Source organism: Homo sapiens, chromosome 2, assembly GCF_000001405.40.
Source record: "Homo sapiens chromosome 2, GRCh38.p14 Primary Assembly".
Classification (NCBI taxonomy): domain Eukaryota; kingdom Metazoa; phylum Chordata; class Mammalia; order Primates; family Hominidae; genus Homo; species Homo sapiens.
The window spans coordinates 191080466-191107614 of record NC_000002.12 but is presented as its reverse complement, the minus strand read 5'-3'; the positions used below and the strand labels follow the sequence as shown (position 1 = coordinate 191107614).

The 27149-nt window shown below is 36.0% G+C and overlaps 1 protein-coding gene across 5 annotated transcripts in view, besides 1 other annotated feature; it reads left to right on the top strand.

Moving 5' to 3' along the window:
* The window catches only part of STAT4 (signal transducer and activator of transcription 4), a 122021-nt gene that overhangs the window by 43982 nt on the left and 50890 nt on the right, over nucleotides 1–27149 (top strand). The window lies entirely within an intron of this gene.
* Nucleotides 8984–9266: a silencer, noted in NCBI's record as "fragment chr2:191963075-191963357 (GRCh37/hg19 assembly coordinates)". NCBI's record gives its function as "represses an EF-1alpha promoter that drives an FKBP-Casp9 reporter gene in an ReSE screen in HepG2 liver carcinoma cells {active_cell/tissue: HepG2}" and the evidence as "EXISTENCE:reporter gene assay evidence [ECO:0000049][PMID:32094911]".

Here is a 27149-nt window from a genome sequence, read left to right as displayed (position 1 = left end):
ATGTTTAACTGTACATGGGTCTGCAGATCAGATACCTGGGGTTAAAACCCTGCCTCAGATTTATTAGCAACATGATTTTGGGCAAGTTACATAAACCCAGCCTCCCCTGAACCTTGCTCTCTTTATCTTCTGTGTAAAATGGGGATAGTAATAGTATTATGCCCATTACTATAGGGCTGTTGTGGGGACCAAATGACAATTCAATTAAGGGCTTAGTGTGGTGCCTGACACTCAGAAAGTGCTCAATAAATATTATTTTATGAATATTTTTCTTTAAGATTGTTAACAGGCAGGAAAATTGTAAGGAAGAAATAAAGATGGACTCTGGATTTCAGTCAGTAAACATGCTTCAAGTACATATTGAGGTCAGCATGCTAGGTTTGACCCTGGGGATAAAATGACTACTATCATACCAAAGACCTCACAAAACAAGACACCTCAAACCCTGAAGCTTTTAACCATTTTTCATCTTACTAATCTCACTGGACACTGTGTAAGAAACATCTATATTTCATTTCACGCAACCATACGTTTCTACTGCTGACATTAATGTGTAGAGTACTTGAATTTCATACATGTGTCTATCAAGTCCAAATATCACTTGACTGACAATCCAAATGTATCACCAAACATACAATATCTCACCTCCCCAGACAGCAACATTCTTGCTCAATTTACTTTACAGTATCCTTCTCACCTAGAGTATTACAGAAATATTACCTTATGAAAACAGGTTTTCTCCACATACTATAAGATTCCTAACAACAGGATCTGCCCTAATTCTAATAGGTCGCACTTTTACAGGATTGTGCAGTCTTCCTCTGTCCCTGAAGGCTGTATGTTCACTTTTCTAAAATGATTTATTGACTCATGCACATTTTTCCCCAGAGAGCTATTCAAATTGAGTACATTTTTTTATTTTATTTTATTTTATTTTATTTTATTTTATTTTATTTTATTTTATTTTTGAGATGGAGTCTCACTCTGTTGCCCAGGCTGGAGTGCAGTGGCACCATCTGCAACCTCCGCCTCCCAGGTTCAAGCGATTCTCCTGCCTCAGCCTCCCAAGTAGCTGGAACTACAGGCATGCGCCACCATGCCCGGCTAATTTTTTGTATTTTTAGTAGAGACGAAATTTCACCATGTTGGCCAGACTCGAACTCCTGACCTCAGGTGATCTACTCACCTCAGCATTCCAAAGTGCTGGAATTACAGGCATGAGCCACCGTGCCCAGCCTAATTTTTTTTTTTTCTAAGCAGACACTACACCATGACATTTAAACAGAATTAGGCATGTGTTTTGATTTGTCTTCTGCCAAGTTCGAAAACTTCCAAGTACCTAGTGATTTATTTGCCAAAAAAGCCACAAAAGCACAAATGAGATCCCAAGGGTTACGGTTTCTTTTGTAACGTCTGTATTCTGATGGATGGCTAATTTATTTTTAGCATGAGATAGGCTGACAACAGAACAGAAAAATTAAGACAGAAGGAATTCTAATGACATTTAATTCAACTCTTAATATTACTGATGATTCAGTTGAGGCGGTAATGACCTGACCAAAATTCCTTAGTAACAGAAAAGCCACCGCAAGGTCCCTCTTCAGCCCCTGTTCTTTCCCCTGTCGTCTTCACAGCAAATCCCAGTGAGGCACCCACAATCTCAGATCCTCCACAAGGCCCCTGTGCTGATGCCAACACGCTACAGAACTTGGGGTTACTTATTTTCTGTTCATATCCATCGGCGAGGATAATTAAATACTATACTTAGAAATCAGGAACTACCTAACTGTCCATGACAGAGAAATGACTTCATAGGTTCATCTGACCAAGCCAGATAATTCAGTACCATGCATTTATTCAGCATTGTGTTTTTGAAGACTAATGATGTGGAAATACATTAAGTGAAAACTACGGAATACAAACTTTATCCTGATTTTAAATTTTTAAAACTGGAAGGAAATATATTAAAATGTTACCAATGCTTATCTTTAGTGGGTAAAATGAAGACTGGCTTTTTATTTTTCTACTTATGCTTTTGCTGTGTTTTATGTATTTTATACAGTGGATATGGATTTTAGTACTCTGAAAGACAATATAATGTAAAAGACAAATAATACTGTTTAAGATAATCTGATGTACTCATAATCAGGAGAGAGGAGTCTATAGCTGTAAAGACCACCTTTTTAAAAAGAACAAGCAAACATGCATAGGTTGCATACTGTATGTGTCATCCCTTCATGAATTTGGTGTGGGTAGAACAATGTAAAGGCTTTGGCTTTTATTTTGAAATGAGAAACCATTGGAAGGTTTTGGGTAGAGGAATGGCATGATTCATCTTGGATTTCAACAGGATCACCCTGGCTGCCATGTCGAGAGTAACCTTCTGGTGAGCAAGGGCAAAAGCAGGGAACGAGGAAGATGGTGACAAGCCAGGCTACAAAGGAGGGTAGTGGTACAAGGGCTGAGAAGAGTTGGATTCCAGCTAGTTATCTATCACAGTGTTAGACTTTGAAAACTATTTTCCCACGATCTGTTATTTATTATATGGGGATTTAAATATGTCTTTTATTTTGTATTTTTATCCACAGAACCTGTGATGAATCTAAAAAGCCTTGGGTATAGCAGGTCTTCTCCCTGAAAATAATGCCAACTCTGATTATACCTTTCCTTTTTAAACAGCTGCCCCTATTCCAACAGTTACCCTGTCTCTGTGGGGCCAGATAAGATGGGCCATTGGGACTTTTTTCTGCTCAAGCACCAGGTGGTCTCAGTCTTAGTCCAGAAGGTCTCAAACACCAGCCAGGACCCATCCTTAATAAAGTTTTTACCAGTTGGCAGCAAAATAAAAGAGTAATAGAGAGAATCTTTGCAAAGTCAAAATTCACTTAAAAAGGATCATTCTTTATTCTTTGACAATATATATCCTTTCAAATCATATGGGGAGGAGTGTTTTATGTTTTATAAAATGATGATGATGTGTATGGTGGTTATGGACCTTTGTTTAATATATACTTATTTAGCAAAATCAAAAGTTGACAATTTTATTTCAGCTTCAAAGACTTCTATGGCAGTTTTCTGGTCTATTAAATCTTCAAATTTAAAAACACAGTGTGAGTCTGTGTGGCAAAATCTTCTTCACATATGCCTATTGTGAATTTAATATTTTTGGTAATTGAACAAAAAATGAACACTGATTCTAAAGCTTTTTATCTACAATATTACCTCATCTTCTCCTAGAAAATAAATGTTAGTGAGAACTAAACGTGGGAAAAACTAATTCATTAGTTTAACTTCTTTATTATCAAAGCTTTGTTCAGTTAAAAAAGAGTGTTTTTAAAAATTATACGAGTAATGCAAATTAATTACAAGAAATTTGGAAAATGAAGAAGGACAAAAAGAAAAAAATATTTATCCATAATTCTATCATCCAGATTTGCAACCACTGTTGATACTTTAGTATATTTTTTCTTGTCTTTTTAAAAGTATTAGAGATGAATAGATATATTTTTTCACAAAACGGGGATTATATGGTTATTTCTTCAGTATTGTACATCAAAAAGCTATCACAAAGGCCTTGATACCTAGAACACTTAGCAACCTATTACTCATAGTCTCAAACCTTGGTTGCTCATCAGAAATGTGCAAATGAAGCTACATCTATTTTTAAAGACCAGGGTGATGATAAATGTAGATAAGCTAGGGAAAAAACTGTAGATGTCCCATTGTCTGAGCAATTTCCTTCAAGTTAAAATAGAGAATAATAGACATTAAACATATTAGTAGCTCAATGAGACTTTTTAAAAGTCAAAGAATTAAAATAATATGAAAAAGGGAAATATAGAAAACCACAAACTGTAGTGTATGTTGAAATAGGGAAAGTACTTGTATATTCTTTTTATTTAATTCTCATAAAAATGAAGAGGACACCATATATTAAAATCTAATTTGTTTTTCTTGGTAACCATAATAATGACTACCATTTTTTAAAAATTAAATTATGCTTCTCCTTGAAATAGGACCAACTCTATGATTAAGAGAATTTGGACTTTTAAATTTTGCTTTTATGGATTCTGATAAGAGATTTAGCTCCCTGAAGATATCCTTTTTCTGCCACAGTGCCTGGAATTCATGCTCTTGACTTTGGTAATAAGGACTTCAGGTTTATAATTGGATATAAAAATTTCTTCTCCAGACTTTTAGATACAATACATAAGAAGACAAAAAGGCAAACACACACAGCATTAAAGCCTAAGAATACTGGGAATTTAAGTGCCAGAACATGAGTGAAATCTACATCAATATCAGGCAAGTAAAACTAAGTCAGGAAGTCAACCCCACTTTCCTCTAACGAAAACATTACCTAAAGACACATGCCTGGGACCTAAAAAAATTCCACGTAACAAGAGACTGGCAAACATAGCTTAAAAATTAGAAGAACAACATACTTCTGAAAATGATCTACTCCATCTTATGAAGGATTTCCAGGAAACTGTGTGTTTAAAATAGGAGCAGAAAACTAAAAGGAGCAAATGGGTTAAAATGAAAAATTTTAAAGAATGATGTGAAAAGAGAGAGGTTGTGACTAGGATAGGAAAGGATTCTATGGTGAGAAAGAAAGAAACAGGAGTAGAATTAAATCCATGTTGGGCATAGTTGATACCATGGAACATGGATGATACATGGATGTCACAGTTAAAGCACATCATGTAGTGATATGAAAGAAAATAGTATATGGAAATGAGACACAGAAGCGCCAACACACAGATAATTGATGGACACAAAAGCGAATGGAAGGAACAAAAATGACAACTGAAAGTATATTTTGGAAGACTTTCCTGAGTTAACAAAGAAAGCCTGTCACTGTCGACTTGAGAGATTCAATTAAAGTATGTTCAATGCCTTATCTTGACATGGAAATTTCAAAAGCTTAACTTTTACTCCAGACAACAAAAATTAGGTTTCAATGGCAGTTTCATGCATTCATTGTGAATTGTGATTGGTGCAAGTGAAAAACGGTGAAATTGGAGATAGTGCAAGTGGGAACTGTGCATAAAGCAGAGCTCATTCTATTAGCACAGTAGCCCACAGCGGGAGGAGCTTGTAGTGAATGTGAGGTTATCTACCTGGCAGTTGTTGTAAAAACAAGGTTGTGAACCACTGGGTGCAAAAATAATTTCAATAAATTCAATGGTAATTGCTATAAGCATGAACAACTATATAAATACCTTCCAAAATAGTAGAGAAGAGCAAAAGAGGAATAGACTATATAGCAAACCACAAGCAAAGACAATAATAATAAAACAAATGACGAAGTAAAACTAAATTAAATATAGCAATGCATGTGAGTGGATTAAGTGCTCTTGTTAAAAATAAGAAAATTCTCACATAGCCCATTTATGCCTAGTGTTCCATTATTGGAACGGTAAGCATGTGGGAGTTATTTATATCCTGCTGCTAAAGGTCATCGCCAATGTCTGATTGCCAAAATTCAAAAAATTGCAACCTCAGGCATAAATGGGTTAAAATTAATACAGAATTCAACCACATTCTGTTTAAAACTAACCACCTAAAATGAGGTATTAGAGGAGTTCAAAAAAAAAAAAAAGGTTGGGCAAAGATATATCAAACTAATGAAGACAAAAAGAAAATATGGTCACTATATGTTATGTAATAATGACATAATAATAAAATAGAAATGAGATACAATAGCTGACATTAATTTAGTCCTAAGGACATGTCATATCTCAGTTAATGCTCATAACTATGAGGTTGTTAGATAATGTCAAATTCCAGCCCAAAATCAATAACCAGAACAAATATTGTAATACTATAAAGTGACAATTTCAATTGAACACTCATGGGTCAGTATGTACCAAGTAATATTAACTCAACATATAAAGTAAAAATTATAAATACAAAAAAAAATGACCAGTAGTAGGACACTTTAACACATTTCTCAGTTTTCTGACATCAAATATGAAAACCATAAATGAATGAGATGTTAATGCTATAATTTAATGAGGTTGGTTTAACCAAGAATATGTCATTGCATTTTGATGGCAAAAAAATTATAAGTAATCTAAACATCAACAGTGGATAATTTATTAAATTAGACTAGGGCTAAAATATTGTTGGCTTATGGAGTGGCCATTCTTTTATTCCTTTTAAACAAAATAAAATAAAATAGTGTTGTCGAACAATTTTTAATGACATTGAAGTATTAAGTACCAATTAAATGAAAAAGCAGATATATAATGATACATTGAGTATGCTCTGAATTTTATTTTTAAAGTGTACATAAGTGTTTATAAAAATGCACACAGAGATAATAAACCAAATGGGTCCATATAAAAATGTTAACATAGGTTATCTCCAGATCTTGTGATTGTGGGTGATTTTTTCTCAGTTATTTTTATCAATCTTAGGGATTTTGCATTTAAAATTTTTTCTGCAAAGAACATTTTTACTTCTGCAATCAGAGAAAAATATAATTGACCTTTATTTAATGATTATGATCTTATGAACATCCCACTTGTTTCTCACCCCTTAGGAGAGAAAGGCAGGGTAGAGATTTGACAGGAGCGGAAATCAAAGCTAAAAGAGGTAAAAGTGGCTTAAAAAAAAATGTCATAGTTAATGACAGTACATGTTCTAAAACCCTTGACTTCGGACCTCCAGTCCTGAGGACTTTCCAGTCCATTTTTCTGGGTAAACCATGTCACCACAAAAGCCTGTTGACATGCTGCTGATTCAGGGTGTCAAGTCCATTATCAAGCCCAGAGGTTATAAAATATATAAAGTCACATATATTTTATATAATATGAATATAAAAATTTATATGTGAATATAAAAAATTACATATTTATATAATCAAATATATAAATAAGATTTTTATCCAAGATGATAGGAGAAAGAGGTTGATATATCTGACTAATTAGCTCCAAATGAGCAAGGTACTGAGGGGATGAGACAAATACATTTTGATGGAAGCTGGAGGTAGAAATAGTCATGGAAGCCAAAACCAGTAAGCAGAAAAGGCTCTGATGCTTGGGGAACAAATCTCACCTGTAGGTGTTAGCATCTTTTCCAGAGTGGCCCTGAAAGAAAAGGTCATTTTAAATATAAACATGACAGTGATTTGCATTTCAGACCAGCCCAAAGACTACTTTGCGGTATGACTCTGTGTACCTGCAAGTCAAATCCAGGATTCACAGTTTTGGAAGTGGTTCTGGGCCATCCTCATGCCCACAGTTGACTTACGGGTCATTTAGGCGCTAACCTATTGTTTATGAGCTATTAGCAATCCCTTCAGTTTCCATTTCTCTCAGTAGTTGGACGGTATTAATACTTCCGCCACATAGTTCAAATAGACTTCAGATTTTTGTTCCATGGAAAATGTACAGGGACACTTTGAGAGTTGCTTCGTAAATGTCAGCAGTCATCAGAGAATGGTTTTATTTCTTCAGATTGGAATAATTTTTCCACTTCTTGCTTTAGGAGTTCTAATTTTCTAATTTTTGCACATTATGTAAATTAATTAAAAATTTTTTACCAATGGAATTTTTGTTATGATGAAAATAGCTTTATAATTTCTTTCTGATTGCTTAAATAATGCAAATCTTTGTAAAAAGTCAAATGATAATGAAAAGTCTAAGAAGAAAGAAAAAAAATCCCCTGAAATTCCACTGAAATAAGATAACCACTATTAACATTTTGGTCACCAACTTTTCATACTTTTACTGCATACACACTCATGTAATTTTCCATAAAGTAGATCATAATATACATGTAGCTTTTTAATTACAAACTTCTTTTTATCCCACTTCTTTTTTCCTTACCTCCATCCACACCACTACCTTCAAAGACATCCGTATTAACAGTCAAGTGTGAACCTTTCCATATGTGTATCTATGTTTACCTAATTAAATAAAAATGGAAAAAAATGGAAAAGATATAATTTGTGGATATTTTTAAAAATATAATGTGTACATGTGTGTTGTTTATGAAATTTTGTAAATGATGAAATATTTTGTCATTTACAAAAATGAAATTTTATTATTCATATCTCTGCTTTCCAAATTTTACGTAACAGAAATCCCTCCATTTTAATGGTAGGAAATGTGTTACAGTTTATTGAACCATCCCTGTTAGATGAGAAATTACTTTACTTTTGGTTCTCCACTATAAACAGGATTGAAACAAACGATCTTGTACATATATTATTATGGGCCAGTGCTTTTATTTTTATTGGATGGATTCCTAGATATGGACTTGCTAGTCAAAATATAAGCATTTTAAATTCTGATATTTTGAGATTTCTTTCCTAATAGGTTGTAAAATTCACAGTTCCATCAGCAAAGTGTACTAGGACCCTCATCCCCATATCTTCATTAACAATAGATATTATCATTCTTTTTTATTTTTGTCAACCTGACTTTTTGGGAAATACTATCTCTGTCTTTATTTTAAATTTGCTTTTTTCCTAACTATTTGGGAGATGGGGCATCCTTTCCCACATTTATTGGTCATTTGGATGTATTCTTTTGTGAATTTCCCATTCACTTCCTTCTATCAGGCATTTTAAATCAATTTCAAAGGGCTCTTATCTACATTAAAAATATTACTTAAAAGAATATTTTATATATTAATAATTATTTTTTATGAATTACTAATGTTCTCCTAAGTCTATAATATGTCTTTAGGCTTTATGACATCTTTTTCCACACAAAAATATTTAAATGTAGTGAAAGTGCATCTTTTTTGTATAGTTTCTAGGGATTCTATCCTGGCTTAAAAGATCTCCTCGATCCTTAGATATTTTGTTTTCCTAAATTCTATTCTAAGATTTATTTTTTAAATTATACTTTAAGTTCTAGGGTACATGTGCACAACGTGCAGGTTTGTTACATAGGTAAACATGTGCCATGTTTGTTTGCTGCACCCATTAACTCGTCATTTACATTAGGTATTTCTCCTAATGCTATCCCTCCCCCGGCCCCCACCCCAAGACTGGCACCCATGTGTGATGTTCCCCGCCCTGTGTCCAAGTGTTCTCATTGTTCAGTTCCCACCTATGAGAACATGTGGTGTTTGGTTTTCTGTCCTTGTGCTGGTTTGCTCAGAATGAGGGTTTCCAGCTTCATCCATGTCCCTGCAAAGGACATGAACTCATCCTTTTTTATGGCTGCATAGTATTCCATGGTATATATGTGCCACATTTTCTTAATCCAGTCTATCATTGATGGACATTTGGGTTGGTTCCAAGTTTTTGCTATTGTGAATAGTGCCACAGTAAACACACGTGTGCATGTGTCTTTATAGTAGAATGATTTATAATCCTTTGGATGTATACCCAGTAATGGGATCGCTGGGTCAAATGGTATTTCTAGTTCTAGATCCTTGAGGAATCGCCACACTGTCTTCCACAATGGTTGAACTAGTTTACACTCCCACAAACAGTGTAAAAGTGTTCCTATTTCTCCACATCCTCTCCAGCATCTGTTGTTTCCTGACTTTTTAATGATTGCAATTCTAACTGGTGTGAGATGGTATCTCATTGTGGTTTTGATTTGGATTTCTCTGACAACTAGTGATAATGAGCATTTTTTCATGTGTCTGTTGGCTGCATAAATGTCTTCTTTTGAGAAGTGTCTGTTCATATCCTTTGCCCACTTTTTGATAGGTTGGTTGGTTTTTTTTTCTTGTAAATTTGTTTAAGTTCTTTGTAGATTCTGGATATTAGCCCTTTGTCAGATGGGTAGATTGCAAAACTTTTCTCCCATTGCCTGTTCACTCTGATGGTAGTGTCTTTTGCTGTGCTGAAGCCTGTAGTTTAATTAGATCCCATTTGTCTATTTTGGCTTTTGTTGCCATTGCTTTTGGTGTTTGAGTCATGAAGTACTTGCTCATGCCTATGTCCTGAATAGTATTGCCTAGGTTTTCTTCTAGGGTTTTTATGGTTTTAGGTCTAACATTTAAGTCTTTAATCCATCTTGAATTAATTTTTGTGTAAGGTGTAAGGAAGGGATCCAGCTTTAGTTTTCTACATATGGCTAGCCAGTTTTCCCAGCACCATTTATTAAATAGGGAATCCTTTCCCCATTTCTTGTTTTTCTCAGGTTTGTCAAAGATCAGATGGTTGTAGATGTGTGGTGTTATTTCTGAGGCCTCTGTTCTGTTCCATTGGTCTATATCTCTGTTTTGGTACCAGTACCATGCTGTTTTGGTTACTGTAGCCTTGTAGTATAGTTTGAAGTCAGGTAGCATGATGCCTCCAGCTTTGTTCTTTTTGTTTAGGATTGACTTGGCAATGCGGGCTCTTTTTTGGTTCCATAAAAACTTCAAAGTAGTTTTTCCAATTCTGTGAAAAAAGTCTTTGGTAGCTTGATGGGGATGGCATTGAATCTATAAATTATATTGGGCAGTATGGCCATTTTCACGATATTGATTCTTCCTATCCATGAGCATGGAATGTTCTTCCATTTGTTTGTGTTCTCTTTTATTTCGTCGAGCAGTGGTTTGTGTTTTTCCTTGAAGAGGTCCTTCACATCCCTTGTAAGTTGGATTCCTAGATATTTTATTCTCTTTGTAGCAATTGGGAATGGGAGTTCACTCATGATTTGGCTCTCTGTTTGTCTGTTATTGGTGTATAAGAATGCTTGTGATTTTTGCACATTGATTTTGTATCCTGAGACTTTGCTGAAGTTGCTTATCAGCTTAAGGAGGTTTTGGGCTGAGACGATGGGGTTTTCTAAATATACAATCATGTTATCTGCAAACAGGGACAATTTGACTTCCTTTTTTCCTAATTGAATCCCCTTAATTTCGTTATCTTGCCTGATTGCCCTGGCCAGAACTTCCAACACTGTGTTGAATAGGAGTGGTGAGAGAGGGCATTCTTGTCTCGTGCTGGTTTTCAAAGGGAATGCTTCCAGTTTTTGCCCGTTTAGTATGATATTGGCTGTAGGTTTTTCATAAATAGCTCTTATTATTTTGAGATACATTCCATCAATACCTAGTTTATTGAGAGTTTTTCACATGAAGGGCTGTGGAATTTTGTGAAAGGCCTTCTCTGCATCTGTTGAGATAATCATGTGGTTTTTGTCACTGGTTCTGTTTGTGTGATGGATTATGTTTATCGATTTGCATATGTTGAACCAGCCTTGCATCCCAGGGATGAAGCCAACTTGATCGTGGTGGATAAGCTTTTTGATGTGCTGCTGGATTCAGTTTGCCAGTAGTTTATTGAGGATTTTCGCATCAATGTTCATCAGAAATATTGGTCTAAAATTCTCTTTTTTTGTTGTGTCTCTGCCAGGCTTTGGTATCAGGATGATGCTGGCCTCATAAAATGAATTAGGGAGGATTCCCTCTCTTTCTATTGATTGGAATAGTTTCAGAAGGAATGGTACCAGCTCCTCTTTGTACCTCTGGTAGAATTTGGCTATGAATCCCTCTGGTCCTGGGCTTTTTTTGGTTGGTAGGCTATTAATTATTTCCTTGATTTCAGAGCCTGTTATTGGTCTATTCAGGGATTCAACTTCTTCCTGGTTTAGTCTTGGCAGGGTGTATGTGTCAAGGAATTTATCCATTTCTTCTAGATTTTCTAGTTCATTTGTGTAGAGGTGTTTATAGTATTCTCTGATGGTAGTTTGTATTTCTGTGGTATTGGTGGTGATATCCCCTTTATCATTTTTTATTGCATCTGTATGATTCTTCTCTCTTTTCTTTTATATTTGTCGTGCTAGCAATCTATCAATTTTGTTGATCTTTTCAAAAAACCAGCTCCTGGATTCATTGACTTTTTGAAGGATTTTTTTGTGTGTGTCTCTATCTCTTTCAGTTCTGCTCTGATCTTAGTTATTTCTTGCCTTCTGCTAGCTTTTGAATTTGTTTGCTCTTGCTTCTCTAGTTCTTTTAATTGTGATGTTAGGGTATCGATTTTAGATCTTTCCTGCTTTATCTTGTGAGCATTTAGTGCTATAAATTTCCCTCTACACACTGCTTTAAATGTGTCCCAGAGATTCTGGTATGTTGTGTCTTTGTTCTCATTGGTTTCAAAGAACATCTTTATTTCTGCCTTCATTTCATTATTTACCCAGTGTCCATTCAGGAGCATGTTGTTCAGTTTCCATGTAGTTGTGCGGTTTTGAGTGAGTTTCTTAATCCTGAGTTCTAATTTGATTGCGCTGTGGTCTGAGAGATAGTTTGTTGTGATTTCTGTTCTTTTACATTTGCTGAGGAGTGTTTTACTTCCAACTATGTGGTCAATTTTGGAATAAGTGCGATGTGGTGCTGAGAAGAATGTATATTCTGTTGGTTTGGGGTGGAGAGTTCTGTAGATGTCTGTTAGGTCTGCTTGTTGCAGAGCTGAGTTCAGTTCCTGGATATCCTTGTTAACCTGTCTCGTTGATCTGTCTAATATTGACAGTGGGGTGTTAAAGTCTCCAACTTTAAAAATAAAGTTATTATTGTGTGGGAGTCTAAGTCTCTGTAGGTCTCTCAGGACTTGCTTTATGAATCTGGGTGCTCCTATATTGGGTGCATATATGTTTAGGATAGTTAGCTCTTCTTGTTGAATTGATCCCTTTACCATTATGTGATGGCCTTCTTTGTCTCTTTTGATCTTTGTTGATTTGAAGTCTGTTTTAGCAGAGACTAGGATTGCAACCCCTACTTTTTTTTTTTTTTTTTTTTTGCTTTCCATTTGCTTGGTAGATCTTCCTCCATCCCTTTATTTTGAGCCTGTATGTGTCTCTGCACATGAGATGGGTCTCCTGAATATAGCACACTGATGGGTCTTGACTCTTTATCCAATTTGCCAGTCTGTGTCTTTTAACTGTGGCATTCAGTCCATTTACATTTAAGGTTAATGTTGTTATGTGTGAGTTTGATCCTGTCATTATGATGCTGGCTTGTTATTTTGCCCATTAGTTGATGCAGTTTCTTCCTAGCATCAATGGTCTTCACAATTTGGCATGTTTTTGCATTGGCTGGTACCGGTTGTTCCCTCCCATTTTTAGTGCTTCCTTCAGGAGCTCTTGTTAAGGCAGGTCTGGTAGTGACAAAATCTTTCAGCATTTGCTTGTCTGTAAAGGATTTTATTTCTCCTTCACTTATGAAGCTTAGTTTGGCTGGATATGAAATTCTGGTTTGAAAATTCTTTTCTTTAGGAATGTTGAGTATTGGCCCCCACTCTCTTCTGGCTTGTAGAGTTTCTGCTGAGAGATACGCTGTTAGTCTGATGGGCTTCCCTTTGTGGGTAACCCAACCTTTCTCTCTGGCTGCCCTTAACAATTTATCCTTCATTTCAACTTTGGTGAATCTGATAATTATGTGTCTTGGATTTGGTCTTCTCAAGGAGTATCTTTGTGGCGTTCTCTGTATTTCCTGAATTTTAATGTAGGCCTGCCTCCCTAGGTTGGGAAAGTTCTCCCGGATAATATCCTGAAGAGTGTTTTCCAACTTGGTTCCATTCTCCCTGTCACTTTCAGGCACACCAATCAAATGTAGATTTGGTCTTTTCACATAGTCCCATATTTCTTGGAGGCTTTGTTCTTTTCTTTTTACTCTTTTTTCTCTAAACTTCTCTTCTTGCTTTATTTCATTAATTTGATCTTCAATCACGGTTACCCTTTCTTCCACTTGATTGAATTGGCTATTGAAGCTTGTGCATGCCTCACATGGTTCCCATGCCATGGTTTTCAGCAACATCGGATCATTTAAGGTCTTCTCTATACTTCATTCAAGTTAGCCATTCGTCTAATCTTTTTTCAAGGTTTTTAGCTTCCTCACGATGGGTTCGAACATCCTCCTTTAGCTCGGAGAAGTTTGTTATTACTGACCTTCTGAAGCCTACTTCTGTCAGCTCGTCAAAGTCATTTCTCCGTCCAGCTTTGTTCTGTTGCTGGCAAGGAGCTGTGATCCCTTGGAGGAGAAGAGGCACTCTGATTTTTAGAATTCTCAGCTTTTCTGCTCTTGTTTCTCCCCGGCTTTGTGGTTTTATCTACTTTGATCTTTGATGCTGGTGACCTATAGATGGGGTTTTGATGTGGATATCCTTTTTGTTGATGTTGATGCTATTCCTTTCTGTTTGTTAGTTTTCCTTCTCACAGTCAGGTCCCTCAGCTGCAAGTCTGTTGGATTTTGCTGGAGGTCCACTCCAGACCCTGTTTGCCTGGGTATCACCAGTGGAGGCTGCAGAACAGCAAATATTGCAGAACAGCAAATATTGCAGAACAACAAATATTGCTGCCTGATCCTTCCTCTGGAAGCTTCATCCCAGAGGGGCACCCACCTGTATGAGGTGTCAGTCAGCCCCTACTGGGAGGTGTCTCCCGGTTAGGCTACACAGGGGTCAGGGATCCACTTGAGGAGGCAGTCTGTCCATTCTCAGAGCTCAAACACTGTGCTGGGAGAACCACTGCTCTCTTCAGAGCTGTCAGACAGGGTTGTTCAAGTCTGCAGAAGTTTCTGCTGCCTTTTGTTCATCTACGCCCTGCCCCCAGAGATGGGGTCTACAGAGGCAGCAGGCCTTGCAGATCTGTTGTGGGATCCGCCCAGTTCAAACTTCCCCAGCTGCTTTGTTTACCTCTCAAGCCTCAGCAATGGCAGATGCTCCTTCCCCTGCCATGCTGCTGCCTTGCGGGTGGATCTCAGACTGCTGCACTAGCAGTGAGCAAGGCTCCATGGGCATGGGACCCACCGAGCCACGTGTGGGATATAATCTCCCAGTGTGCCAGTTGCTAAAACCATTGGAAAAGTGCAGTATTTGGGTGGGAGTGTCCCAATTTTCCAGGTACAGTCTGTCACAGCTTCCCTTGGCTAGGAAAGTGAAATCCCCCGACCCTTCGCACTTCCTGGGTGAGGCAATGCCCTGCCCTGCTTTGGCTCACCCTCCGTGGGCTGAACCCACTGTCCAACCAGTCCCAATGAGATGAACCAGGTACCTCCATTGGAAATGCAGAAATCTCTGTCTTCTGCATCAATCACACTGGGAGCTGCAGACTGGAGCTGTTCCTATTCAGCCATCTTGGAACCTCTAAGAGTTTTTAAAAGTTAAAATCTTTAAAAATCTACTTAGAATTCTTTTTTTTTTTTTTAACTGTAGCACATTCACACTATGGACCATTTCCTACCATTAAAATGAAGGGATATCTGTTACGTAAAATTTGGAAAGCAGAGACATGAATAATGAAATTTCATTATTTTTGAGACAGAGTCTTGCTCTGTCACCCAGGCTGGAGTGCAGTGGCATGATCTCAGCTCACTGCAACCTCCACCTCCCGGGTTCAAGCAAGTTTCCTGCATCAGCCTCCTCAGTAGCTGGGATTACAGGCGCATGCCACCATGCCTGGCTAATTTTTGTATTTTTAGTAGAGACAGGGTTTCACCATGTTGGTTAGACTGGTCTCTAACTCCCAACCTCGTGATCTGCCCCCCTCAACCTCCCAAAGTGCTGGGATTACAGGCATGAGCCACAGCGCCCGGGCTTCTACATGGAATTCTTTATATAAAGATCCAACTTTTACTTCTGGATTGACAATTATACAAGCAAGATTTTAAAAAATAAGCACTTTTTTACTGAACTGAAAAACCATCTTTTCATACATTAATTTTCTTATTTAATATTTTATTCCACAACTCTCTATTATGCTCTGCTAATCTAGTTATATGTCATTACTATTGGATACAATGACCTTATGGTATATTTCAATATATTATAAGACAAGTTCTCCTCCCTTCAGCTTAGAGACAATGAACTTGATGGTTAATTGGTTAAAAGTAAGTCAACACTCTGGAGTCAAAGTGAATACCGGCTTAAAGTTACTTAACAGTTCTTTATCTCAGTTTACCTAGCTGTATACTCAGGATGACAGCATTTATCACAAACAGTTTTGAGAGTTCATTAAATGAAACTAAACAGAGCAGTTAGAAAATTCCCTGACAGATTTCAAGCAGTAAGAAATTAGCCTTTGTGACTATCATAGCTGTTGTCAGACATTTTCTGTCACATATGAACTTTAAGATCACTTCATTGACTCTTTCCTTCAACCTCAAACCCTCCAAAAGTTAGGACTCTAACTTTAATTGCATTAAACACACATACTCATTTTGAGACAATTAATATTTTTATAATAACAAGTCTCTCACATTTAGAATTTATGTTTTTAATGTGTCTTCTCAGATTTTAAAGTTTTCAGTGTGACCCTAGTTTAATTTAATTCATGTAAGACCTGTATCTTCTTTGTTAAATTCGTTCCTGTTTTTTAAATTATTTTTCTTATTTTGAATCTATTTTCTATTTCTTATTTTTTATTTCTAGCTCTAGATGGTTATTGCCAATGTAGAGAAAATCATGTCATCTTGTGTATTCATTCTAGAATTTGTATGAGTCTCTTTTTTTCTAGAAATATAATTTTATCATCAGCAAGAGAGATATGTGCATACCCCCTTTACCAATATTTACGTTTACTATTTCATTTTCTTGTCCTTATAATCTTGTCTAAACACTTTCTAATGATGACGAGATATCTGTTCTTATCACAGAGTAAAGGTTACTGAGCCACCAACCCAGGTCCTCTGACTTTGTACAAAGGGCTCTCCAGCTGCTTTTCAGAGTGATTGTCTAGAAGGGTTAAGTCTTCGTAGACATAGATCATTCTGCAGGAAATGTACTCAGACCTTGTAGAAGACATACTTGATACCTTTAAGAAGTAGTTTAAGGCCGGGTATGGTGGCTCACGCCTGTAATCCTAGCACTTTGGGAGGCCAAGGTGGGTGGATCACGAGGTCAGGGGATCGAGACCATCCCCTGTCTTGGTGAACAGGCTAACACGGTGTCAGGCTAACACGGTGAAACCCTGTCTCTACTAAAAATACAAAAAATTAGCCGGGCATGGTGGCGGGTGCCTCTAGTCCCAGCTGCTCGGGAGGCTGAGGCAGGAGAATGGCATGAACTCAGGAGGCAGAGGTTGCAGTGGGCGGAGATCGCGCCACTGCACTCCAGTCTGGGCAACAGAAGCAAGACTCTGTCTCAAACAAACAAACCAAGTAGTAGTTTAAAAATAAATAAATAAGGTAAGACAAGCTATATATACCTGCAGCTAATTTTTAGCTAGTTTAAGATAGATGTATTATTATTATTATTATAAATAATAACAGAGCATTGTTAATTTAGATCCATCAACAGCCTATACTGTACCTTTCTTTTATCAAGAAAACCTTTGCGACGATGAGAGAATTTAAAGCTAACTTTGAGTGAGGAGGCGAGCAACTTCATTCATTCGAATTCATTCATTTCTGGTGAGAGGAATAGCATAAGGAGGGCATATGAGAACTGAAACTTTTTAGTAAGACAATTTCAGAAAATAAAAAGGATTTGTTTTTTAGAGCAATCTTTGGTTTACAGAAAAATTGAGCAAAAAGTACAGAGAATACTTTCCCATATACTCCCTTAGTCTCCTTCTCACACCCCTCACCAGTTTCTCCTATATCTTACATTAGTGTGATGTACTTGTTACAATTTTATATTATTACAATATTATATTATTATTAACTAAAGTCCCATAATTTACATTAGGGCTCACTATATGTTCTATGTGTTTTATCAAATGTGTAATATCATGTATCCAGTATCATAGTGTTATACAGAATAGTTTCATTGCCCTAGATATCCCCTGTTCTCCACCTATTCATCATCCACTCCCTCTCTTTCTTCTAACTCCTGGCAACCACTGACTTTTTTATTGTCTCCATAGTTTGACTTTTCCATAATGTCATATAGTTGGAATCACACAATATGTAGCCTTTTCACGTTGGCTGCTTTTACTTGGTAATATGCATGTAAATTTCATCCATATCTTTTCCTGACTTGATAGCTCATTTCTTATTGGTGCTGAATAATATTCTATCGTCTAGATGGACTGCAGTGTATCTATTCACCTATTTGAGGATATCTTGGTTGCTTCAAATTTCAGCAATTATAAATGAAGCTGCTATAAACATCCATGTGTAGGTTTTCATGTAGAAATGAGTTTTCATCTCCTTTAGATAAATACCAAGGGGTGCAATTGCTGAATCATATTACAAGAGTATGTTTAGTTTTATAACAAATTGCCAAACTGTTTTTGAAAATGGCTGTATTATTTTTCACTCCCACGAGCAACAAATGAAAGTTTCTGTTGCTCCACATCCGCATCAACATTTGGTGTGATCAGTGTGCTGGATTTTGATTGTTCTGATAGATGCATTGCAGTATCTCATTGTTATTTTAGTATGCATTTCCCTGACCACGTATGATGTGGAGCATCTTTTCATATGCCTATTTTTCATCTATATATCTTCTTTGGTGAGACATCTATTATGGTATTTGGCCCATTTTTAAATTGAGTTTGTTTTCTTGCTTTTTAAAAATATTTTAGATAATAATTCATTATCAGATATGTTTTTTGCCAATATTCTCTCCTAGCCTGTGACTTTCATTTTCATTTCTTAACAGTGTCTTTCACAGAGCAGAAATTTTTCCACTAATCAATCTGTCGTTTCATGAATTTTGCCTTTAGTGTTGTATCTAAAAAGTCATCACTAAATCCAAGGTCATCTAGATTATTTTCTGTTATCTTCTAAGACGTTTATAGTTTTGCATTTTACATTTAAGTCTGTGGTTCACTTTGAGTTAATTTCACTTATTTTTTGTGGGAGGTGAAAGGTCAGTGTCTAGATTCACTTTTTGCATATCCAGCTGAATATCCAGCTATTCCAGCACCACTTGTTGAAAAGACCACCTTTGTTCTGTTGTGTCGCATTTGCCCTTTTGTCAAAAGTCAGTTAAGTACATTTACGTGGATCCATTTCAGAACTGTCTATTCTGTTCCATTGATCTATCTGTCCATTCTTTTACCTGTACCACACTGTCTTGATTACTATAGGTTTATACTAAGTCCCAAAGTTGAGTGGAGTCACTTCAACTTTGGTTTTCTCTTTCAATGTCATTGCTATCTGGCTCTTTAGCCTCTCCATATAAACTTTAAAATTAGTCATTATCCAGAAAATAACTTGCTAGTATTTTGATTGGAATCTGTAGATAATTCCATTGAATCTATAGATAAGTGGGGAATAACTGACATCTTGACAATACAGTCTTTATTCTGCTTATTTCTGCCTAAAGTGAATATGAAATATCTTTTCATTTATTTAGTTCTTCTTTGATTTCTTTCATTAGTCTTATCATTTTCCTTACATATCTTATCCACACATTGTTAGATTTATACCTAAGTATTTCATTTTTTGTGCTAATATGAGTAGCATTGTGCTTTCAATTTCAAATTCCAATGATTTGTTCCTGTTCAATAGGAAAGCAATTGACTTTTGTGTCTTAATGTTACAGTCTATAACCTTACTCTAATGGCTTATTAGTTCCAGGAGGCTTTTTTTGTTGTTGTTCTTTGGGATTTTCTATATAGACAGTCACTGTGTCTATGGACACATGTGGACAATTCACCTGTGAACAAAGAAAATTTTATTACATCCTTCCCTATTTGTATAGAATTTATTTCCTTTTCTTACCTTATTGTATTAAGCTACTACTTGCAATATGATGCTGAATAGGAGTGGTGAGTTCAGCCTACCTTGCCTTGTTCTTTGTCTTAGCAGAAAAGCACCTAGTTTCTGACCATTAAGTATATTACCTGTAGATTTTTTGGTACATTTTTTTTTTATCAAGTTGAGAAATTTCACTATTCCTAGTATACTCAGAGTTTTTATCATGAAAGTCAATTGCTTTTTAAAACCTATTAGACTAGCCATTCTATTTTAATCAGCTTTAAGACAACTAGTTCAGCTCTTCTTCAATTTAGTGGGTTTGTTTTTTTCACCGTAGACATAACCTTTTGATTCTGGTGAGGAAAGATTAGGTAGAAGCCATTAAGAAAAATTACATACTCAGAATAAAGAGAAGGAAATAATAAGAAGCTGGTCATAACAAGACCAGCAAAGGTGGCCTTGTTATGTAAATGAAGCCTCCCTCAGAGTAGATGGTAAATGTTTCATTTCAGATTTTTAAAGGCCTCAGACTCTTACTCTGTCCTGGATGGGGTAGTGGGATGGAAAGGGGAGGGAGCGTGGTTGCATTAATGGAGATTCTCTACAGATGCAAATTTTTCCCACAAAAGAGCTTTGCAAGGCCACTTCTGTTAGCTGGCCAAGCTGCAACCATTTTAAAACACATCAAAGAAATATATTTGGGAGTAAAATATTTTAATTTCCTTTAGTCCCCACTTTGAAACTTAAAACAGGTTTCACGCATTAAAAGGCAAGCTGATAGCTTTGGAGAGATTTAGGTTTAGAGGTTGTTAAATGGAGACAGACAATGGAGTGAAAGAAAAATTGGGATAAATAGAAAAGAGCAAATTTAAATATATTGTTTCATATCTTCTTTCATCACTATATTAGTCCTGAGAATAGATCAATTCAGTTAAACAGTTGTGTCACATTCCAGGAGGCGACATTGCAGATGGGTTAGGCTTCTATATTAGGTAGACAATCAGATCTCTAATAAGAGGCATTTCTATAGAAACATAAGAAAAACAAAGGTGAATGTCAAGAGCAATCAGTCTCTATACTAGTTTTCTAGAGCCTCTGAGGCACTTCAGATTGCCACTGCAATCCAGATTCTTCTGGATTGTAGTTCAAACCAGATGTTCAAGTGAACTTTCTGAGAAGTCCAAACATGAGCAGGCAGATACAAAGGTTGTTAAAATAACAGTTGCTGTTATTTTCTCCTGAGGTTTAAATTGCCTAGCTTCAGTTTGAGAAGCTTTAAGAAAAGCAGTTCTAATTTCTAGCAATTTCAAGTCAGAAACATGGGAGAAAAAAATTGAAAATATTAGTTTGGAGATATATAGCCAGGAGAAAAATTCAGAACTCAATCTAAATTGTAGCAAATACTAAAAACTGAAAAAGAATAGACAAGGCTAGAATCTGATAACAAGTATACTACAGTTTCTTTTGGAACATAATTTTTCTCTTTCCAATCCCCCAATTTTACTAAAGACAACATCATAGCAGGAGTAATTTATTTGCACAGTAAGTTTTAGTTTAATTATACTTGGTCTGATTATTTGTATAAAATGCATTGAAAGTAATTATTTGCTATACAGGCTCTTTTTAAAATTAGCTTTGCTGGAACTTTTATTTAAAAATAAGGACTCTCAAATTAGACCTTTTAAAAGCCTCAAGCCCAGCCAAGGATTTATCTATGCTTGCAGATAGTTGTATGAATTGGGTGAATTCCTCTCTTCTTGAGGTCCTATGAGGTTCCCGGGCCTGTCAGAAAGTGACAATCTTTACTTATCACAGGTCAAGAACCCTGTGAAGGACAAGATAGAAGGCCAGTTTTTCCAAAGGGCTTTTATGGGCTCTGTACATCAATCCCAATTCCTCAAAGCCATCTGTTCATATCTGAAAATATCGTTGCAACCAAAGACTTGGTAAAATAGCCAGTGTCTTCAGTGTGTCCTCTTACAGAAGAAAAGAGATTATTATTATTGAACTTATGAAAATAACTATTGCCATAAATTAAGAATACTCACAAATAGTTTCCAAATTCTGGAGAAAGAAATATGTTTCAAATTTTGCTCACAAGAATATATTTTACTCAGTTGTTAAAAGCTGTAAATAGTTCAAATGAAAAAAAGGTTTTCTTGACTTTGAAAAACAAAAAAAGAATCAGTAAAGTTTGAAACAAAAAAAGTAATAAAATTATTTAAATTTTCTATTAGTTCAGTCCATGCAATTAACTTCTGTTCTACTTGATATTGGGTCAGCAATTCTCATGAACACATCAGCTCTCCCTGAGAGTCCTGGAAGTTTTCTCTCTATTCCATTGGCACTGTCTCCAAAGTTATCAGAAACCTGCATTCAAGAGCACCTGTCAGAATCCTGAGATGACTTTGAACCAATTTTGAAAGGATCAACATAAAACAATTGTTTGTGGATGACAAAAGTTTTAGAACATCCACAGTTAAAGACACAATTGCCAAGGAAATTTGGTTATTTCTGTGGCTTTCAACAATTTTACATAATAATTATAATTACTACTGATAACATAGACATATCAGAATCATAAGAATCTCATACAATTTGGAATACATACTAATAACACATTAATATAAATATAATATAAATATAAATATTTAACCCAAAGAAAGTTAAACACCATTTTATATTTGGGAGTGTTTCCTATATGACTTTAACATATCAAGTAAGATCAATATGTCTCTCTTGGACTTCTGAAAAGTTAGTTTTAGGACAAAAGACTGAATTTAGAATTTGATTTTGAATTGTCAAATATGAAAGGTTTTAAATACTTCATATCACAAATAGGACCACAAGTCACTATAAAATAAGTAATTTATTTAGCCAAAATGATAATTCAAAGATTTCAAAAGAGCAGAAACATTTACTCTTTGGCAGAGAGGAGACTTACTTTCCCAAACAATAAAATCTAATAAAGATAGCATGAGGCCAACAAAATCTTTCTCTCTCCCATTTTTTTTTTTTGGTAGTTTACTCAAAAGATAAAAATATTTTACTATTTTCTAATATTACACAAAAATCTTGTTCGAGAGAAAAACTACTTTTTTTACCTTTGTATAGTATATTATTAATGCTAAAGCTATTTTTAATAAAACCTTATGAATAAATAAACCTTAATCAGTTGAGCCATAAGGTAAGATTTTCATAAACTTTTTATATTTTTATAATTTTTTATTAAAGAGTAGATCAGTGCTCCAAGAAAATCCTGTGATTCTAACACAAAGGCCTAGATTCTGGCCCTACGTCAGTATGCTTTTTATTTTAATGTTTAATTTATAGAAAAACTAAAAAAGTCCATTTAAAATTTAGCTAACTTGCTCACATATAGAATTTTTTTATAAGATTAATTTTTCTCAAACCTTTCACAACTTGTTTAAACCTTCAGTTTTCTCCTTATTTTAACTTAAAACAATCCTTAAACACTTTTTAACTAGAGAAAATTAATTTTCCTTTAATAAAACCACCTCCCCATGCCTTCTTGTAACTTTATGAAAAATACACTTTACCTTTTTTTATGTACTTTGTATTTAGTAGTTTTAATTACATGTATTAATTGTAATGTCAATTCTTAATAACTCATTTTTAGTGAAAAACTTAGGACGTAAGTAATTTTAATTATGTACCAGGTGCAGAGCCCAGATCAAAGAACCATCCCTAGAACTAGGCTTCATCATATCCTAATGGCTCAACTCTAAGAACATAAGCTTATAGACAGGTTAAGCAAGTGTCAGAAAAAAAGTTCTATTTTTTTTTTTTTTAGACGGAGTCTTGCTCCGTCACCCAGGCTGGAGTGCAATGGCATGATCTCGGCTCACTGCAACCTCTGCCTCCTGGGTTCAAGCGAGTCTCTTGCCTCAGCCTCCTAAGTAGCTGGGATTACAGTCACGCACCACCATGCCCAGCTAATTTTTGTATTTTTAGTACAGACGGGGTTTCACCTTGTTGGTCAGGCTGGTCTCGAACTCCTGACCTCATGATCTGCTTGTCTCAGCCTCCCAAAGTGCTGGAATTACAGGCGTGAGCCACCACACCCAGCCACAAAGTTCTATATCTTAAAACACCTATCAAAGACGGACTAATTTAGGCCAAATGTCTAAATTCTGAAGACATTGCTGTTTTATTTTAGCAATAATTTTAAAACTGTCTTTTTTTCATCAAAGATTACTAAAATCATGCGAACTTGAAAGGCATTTGGGCTTATTTACTTAATTTATGAGTAAGTCAGTTTGATACCCACACAGGCCAGTGTGTTTGACATTGGCGAGGAATAAAGATAAAAATGACTCAACAGCAGTATTTGTGATGCAAAGGGAGAGAGAGCTAGTTGGCAACCAGAAGTACGCAGTAGGTTGCACATTTCTAATTCAAAAATGTGAATGAAAATATTTTACTCTGTAAATGGAGACAAATGCTTCATATCCCAGAGATACCACAAAGAATAAATATCTACATTTGAGAGAAGTATGGTTGTAGGTAGTTAAAAAAATGAGAAGTCAAAAAGTTCTCAAATTGGGGTTAGGAGAAGAGCTGGTACAGCAGAGGTGGGGCTGTCCTGTTCACATCTTCTTGGCCTTATCATTTTAGTTTAGTCAAGTAGAAATCCAACGGCCAGTATCCCATCTTTTTTCATTGCTAATGATAGATGACAAGAGCTGATGTGAAAATACTCCAGTTCCCAAAGTCCTTGAGTAGATAACTCTGTCACATATTCCATACCAACTTCAAGGGTTCTCAGCCCATCTTAGCAAATGGCTAACAGCACACCCTTACTGGCTCCCTTCTCTTCCTCGTCTCACTTGCCCACTCCCATAACAGTGTTTTGTGGGACCAACTCCCACTTAAACGACTTGCACTGGAATCCTTGTCTCAAGGTCAGTTTCTGAAGAAACCCAAGCTAGGACAGTTGTTGGTTATGTGTTTCCTCAGAATCCTATATCCCCTTTGGTCACTAATGCCTCCTGTTTCAGGCCCTCTAGAAAATTCTCCCTTTATTTGACCTGGGACCTATCATTCTCATCCTGCAGTTGCCAGGTCACTACAGTCAGAGAACATCATCTGAAAAATCCTTCACAATACAGAAGAAATTTGTTAAATGTGGTATTAACCCTCCAAATGTGTTTACATTTTTAAGAGGGCCACTGGGAAAAGAACTCAGAGGAGTGAATTCCTAATTGTGAAGTTTCAGGCTCCATGTCGCCTGTATGAAGAAGATTATTTTGAACAGGGCTTCTCACATCTATTACTTCTGACTCTGGAACTTCTTGGACCATTTGGAAGAAAAAGAGCAGATGAACTAGTTACTCTTTAATGACAAGTCAAATTTGGAAATTAGATAGAAAGGCTGTGGAAGGGGAATTTGAAGGAAAGCCAAGAAATTTAGCATAAAGTAGCAAAAAGAATAAATAGCATGTTCATGGATTCTATGACACTGTTCTCCACATTTTAACATCTTTAAATCTCTGAAATAGAATGCATATTATAATCAATAACACCTCTTAATTGCTGTTGCCATGTGGCAATCACAACATCGTTGTCATTGCCTGTGATGTGAAACTGGGTCAAAGCTATCATGTTGTTGTCACTTCAATCGAATTATGTGCACTGTTGGTGCAACATATGTTGATCTTAATTGCTGTTTAAAATGTCATCAAAATATAACACTATAATTTAGGATTCAAACAAATAGTTATTATGTATGCAGAAAGGGACGGGAACAAATCAGCAGGGTACAAATTTGATATTTGTGAAGCAACCATTTGTCACTAGATGGATGACCCTAAATTCCAAGTTTTCTTGGAAAGCAACAATAAAATCCTTTATAGGATGTAAGAAAGGAAGATGCTCACAAGTAGATAAAGTTGTATTATATTTTGTTACTGAAATTAATGCAAAAAAGATTGCCTGTCATACACAAAGCAACAGTGGCAAGAGAAATTGCCAAATTCCTCATAATAGATGAAAGAAATCTCAGCACAATAAGACCCTGGAGTGAATGATTCATGCATTGCACAGTATTATCATTAAGATGTACAACATCAATTTATCAGAAACATCCTGCTGACTGAGCAGGGTACACTTAACTTCCAGCATGATGCAAGTGAGGAAAAATGATAATATGTGTTTAATTAAAGAGGTAATGCTAGGGATGAGGGAGTGGTTTTCCTTGGCAAGACTTAAAATCATACTGCCAATACAAATGGAACTTCAAGGAGTCCAGGATTATGAATTTGGGGTATCAAAAGCAGCATGTCACTATGATCTTATGTCTAACTGCTGATTGCTGAAGTCACCACCATATTTAATTTGTGTAACTGTAAAACAATGTCTAAGAATAAGAACTTTATGTGGGCAAAGGATATGAACAGACACTTCCCCAAAAGAAGACATTTATGCAGCCAACAAATGTGAAAAAAATGCTCATCGTCACTGGTCATCAGAGAGATGCAAATCAAAACCACAGTAAGATACCATCTCACGCCAGTTAGCATGACAATCATTAAAAAGTCAGGAAACAACAGATGCTGGAGAGGATGTGGAGAAATAGGAACACTTTTACACTGTTGGTGGGAGTGTAAATTAGTTCAACCGTTGTGGAAGACAGTGTGACAATTCCTCAAGGATCTAGAACCAGAAATACCACTTGACGCAGCAATCCCATTACTGGGTATATACCCAAAGGATTATAAATCATTCTACTATAAAGACACATGCACACATATGTTTATTTTGGCACTGTTCACAATAGCAAAGACTTGGAACCAACCCAGATGCTCATCAATGATAGACTCGATAAAGAAAATTTGGCACATATACACCATGGAATACTATGCAGCCATAAAAAAGGATGAGTTCATGTCCTTTGCAGGGACATGGATGAAGCTGGAAGCCATCGTTCTCAGCAAACTAACACAAGAACAGAAAACCAAACACAGCATGTTCTCACTCATAAGTGGGAGTTGAACAATGAGAATATATGGACACAGGTAGGGGAACATCACACACCAGGGCCTGTCAGGGGATGGGGGGCTAGGGAAGGGATAGCATTAGGAGAAATACCTAATTTGATGACAGGTTGATGAGTGCAGCAAACCATCATGGCACATGTATACCTATGTAACAAACCTGCACATGTATCCCAGAACTTAAAGTATAACAAAAAAAAATTTTAAAGAACTTTTTCAAAGGTATTATTAAGAGTGAAACACGATAGTGGATGGATAATGACTGTGGTGACAGACGACTGATTAGAAGTCTTCTGGAATAGACATCTGAGAATCTACCATATATTCTGGTTCTCAATGATTCCATGGACATCTGCCTGAAAAGTTAAATACGAATCTCATCTATTAGTGATGTGGTTGTTTATCATGATGGTATGACTAGACTATTACAACTCTTTAATGTTTCAGTCAACAAACCATTTAACCATATGTAGAAAAAATATGAGTCCTGGTTCTTGTCTGAAACCTTCTACTGAGAAATTTTGGAGAGATCAAGAAAGTGCCAGCATCAAAACTTACAAAATGAAGACAATAATTGTGCACACTCTACAG